Source organism: Homo sapiens, chromosome 8 (genome assembly GCF_000001405.40).
Source record: "Homo sapiens chromosome 8, GRCh38.p14 Primary Assembly".
Taxonomy (NCBI): domain Eukaryota; kingdom Metazoa; phylum Chordata; class Mammalia; order Primates; family Hominidae; genus Homo; species Homo sapiens.
The window spans coordinates 126533431-126536554 of record NC_000008.11 but is presented as its reverse complement, the minus strand read 5'-3'; the positions used below and the strand labels follow the sequence as shown (position 1 = coordinate 126536554).

Below are 3124 nucleotides of genomic sequence, written 5' to 3'. Positions count from 1 at the left end.
CAAAATCTACAGCAGGAGGCCTGGGGTAGAACAGTGTTTTTCACAGTGGAGGTTACTTTTTGGAGTCAAGAAATCAACTTAGATTGTTGTAAGCAGATAGTGTGTGTGTGTGTGTGTGTGTGTGTGTGTGTGTATATGAAATTGGATAAGAAAATATTAGAGTGAAGTACACATATCTTTAGCAAGGATTCTACTGGGTTAAACTTTTGTTATGTTTTTACTTTATTATATGTATTAACAGTAAGGGTAAGTTTCTTTTTAATGATTTTTGTTATTGTTTCCTTTACAAATACTTCTAGTAGGTATAGGGACGGGATGTAAAATGTATTTCTGTGGGTTGAGGTTAAAAAGGTAGAAGAAGGCCAGGCACGGTGGCTTATGCCTGTAATCCCAGCACTTTGGGAGACTGAGACTGAGGCGGGTGTATCACTTGAGGTCAGGAGTTTGAGACCAGCCTGGCCAACATGGTGAAACCCCGTCTCTACTAAAAATACAAAAATTAGCCAGGCAGGCATGGTGGTGCATGCCTGTAATCCCAGCTACTCAGGAGGCTGAGGCAGGAGGATCACTTGAACCAAGGAGGTGGAAGTTGCAGTGAGCCAAGATCAAGCCACTGTACTCCAGCCTGGGTGACGGAGAGAGATTCTGTCAAAAAAAGAAAAAAAAAGAAAAGAAAAAAAAAAGAAAAAGTAAGAAAACACTGCACAGAAATGTTACCTCCATGAAAACAGGGATTTCCACCTGTTTTCAAAATTTGTTTCTAAGTCTCCAACACTTGTCACATACTCAATACACATTTGTTGGTGAGTGAACGTAATTGGGGGATGTATCATATAGGTCATTGGGTTCCACGGTAAAGTTTGAATTTTATTTGGAATGAAATGAGAAATCATTGAAAGGTTTTAAGCAGGGGCGCAATTTGATCTGATTGTGATTTTTGGAGGTCACCTTAGCTTTTGTGTGTAGAATGGATTTGCAGGGAAATAAGAGGTGTAAGAGTGGAAATGAAGGACTTTTCAAGTAGCTCTAGGATAGAACATGATATCTAGGACTAGGATAATAGGTAAATAAAGTAGACAGATTTGAGATATGTTCTCTAGGTAGACTTCCAGATGGATTATGATTCAGGGTAAGGGGCCCAGAGTGAAGGAAATTAAAGAGTCAAGAATGATTTTTGACTTCAGAAAGTAAATGATAGTGAAGAAGTTAACTTGGTGGAGGATAAGTTGATGTTGCAGAGAAGGGAAAGTTGAGGAAGTTCAAGAATGAATACAAGGGGTGATCTCAACCACAAATGTTCACCAAACATTTGATGGATCCACAGCTCTGGGTTAGACATATTGGGAAATATCAACTCTGTTCAGAAGTATAAGTACCGCTTCACTAGTTGTGTGCTTGTTGCAAAGATTGGGTTAAAGAGCCAAAAGTTACTTGAGAGTAATAAAGGCAGTATGACACATTCAATTGTGGGATGTGGTTAGGGGTGAGAGTAGGTTTGGGCCTTCTTTGTCATGTCCAGCAGTAAAGGCAACACTCATTCGTAAAATGATGCATTTCCTAATCACATTTCACAGGTTATGGCATTTGACCTTTGTGCCCTCTCTTTAAGGTATTATTACTCTCCTCCTTGAATAAGTGTGGAAATTGAGCCTCAGGAAAGGGGAAATAAAATGTTTATTGAGCATATCCTGAATGCCAGGTCCCGTGCTTAGAACCTTACAAATGCTATTTCATTTAATCATCAGCATAACCTTGGAGGTTGCCACTGTGATTCCCATTTTACAGAGGAAGTATAGCTTGTGTATGATCACTGGGCAGTGAAATGGACCCACTGTTATAGGACGAACAGGCTTATATGCCCACTGGGCAGTAACAGAGCCATTACACTGAGACAGCAGGGTTTGTAGCAGAGAAAGTTTAATAATCACGGGTGGTGAGCAAGTTGATGAGAAGAGAACCTCAAGTATCTATCGCCCCAAGGAGCTCTGGGTTAAGGTTTTTAAGGGGATTGTGGAGGTTGAAGGGCTGGAAAATTGGAGTTGTTCATTAATCAAGGCAAGGGGATGAAGTCATCGGGATGTGGAAACTGCATTTTTTGGTGAGTCAGCTCCTCATGGAGTCCTTCAGATCAGCTGGCATCAGTGGGGTTCTTCAGACTAGCTGAGTCAGTAAATTCATCTGTCTGCAGGACCTGAAGGAGTATCTCAAAGGGAAGACTTAACATTTCATAATCAAGTTGCTATGTATAGAGCAGATAAGGGAACTATAATCTCCTAACAGGGTCTAATGATTTTAAGAAAGTAGGCACCGAACAACTATGAGGAAGCAGGTCAGAGAATGAGCTGACCTCAGGATTAATGCTGACCATGCTGCAAACTTGGTTTATGTTTATTTCTCCCCCTCTCTTTTTCCCTGAATAATTGTTTGAAGTTCATAGGGGCAGGTTCACCATTAGGATGGAATCCCCAGTTATCTGACTCCTGGACCAAATCTCCTCCTGTGGCATTATGGTTATTTCTAGCAGTTACATGCATTTCATTTGCAAGCATTTCCCAAATCACATAACCCCAAAGGCTTCTCTTCAGCTTGCCACAGTGCTGCTGAGAGTTGGAGTGGAAGACTATGAGACTTCCAGACTTAGATCTTCTTCAGTGGCCTCTGTTACTCTGAAAAATGAGTTGATGAGGACAAGACATTGAAAAAACCCAACTGAGGGATGACAGAGAGCTTGGGCCCCTGTTTGTAAAGGGCTTTGGGTTTTTTTGAACTTTTTATTTGGGCATGATTTCAAACTTGGATGAATAAGCATTGTGCAAAGAACTTCTGCCTACCCTTTACACCGGTTGATCTTTTGTAAGCATTTTGTAAAGTGCAAATGGAAGAAGTGTTTTTAATATTATCCTTGTCCAAGGACTCTATGCCTAGCAGCCTTTCAATTCCTCATGTAATTGTCCTACAGCCCAGAACCCATGTTTATCCTTTCCCCGCGAAGTTCTCAACTTTGATGTTTCATCGTTGCTCAGGATTTCCTTCTCTCTCCCATGGCAGGTAAGAGTTTGGCCTTCCCACTACTCAGCTTGGATTTGGGTTACTGTTTCCCCACTTACTAGCCATTCTAACTTTT

At 41.1% G+C, this 3124-nt stretch overlaps 1 annotated feature.

The window, feature by feature from the left end:
• Positions 2044 to 2244: a silencer, noted in NCBI's record as "peak7170 fragment used in MPRA reporter construct". NCBI's record gives its function as "represses an SCP1 promoter by STARR-seq MPRAs in K562 erythroleukemia cells {active_cell/tissue: K562}" and the evidence as "EXISTENCE:reporter gene assay evidence [ECO:0000049][PMID:32103011]".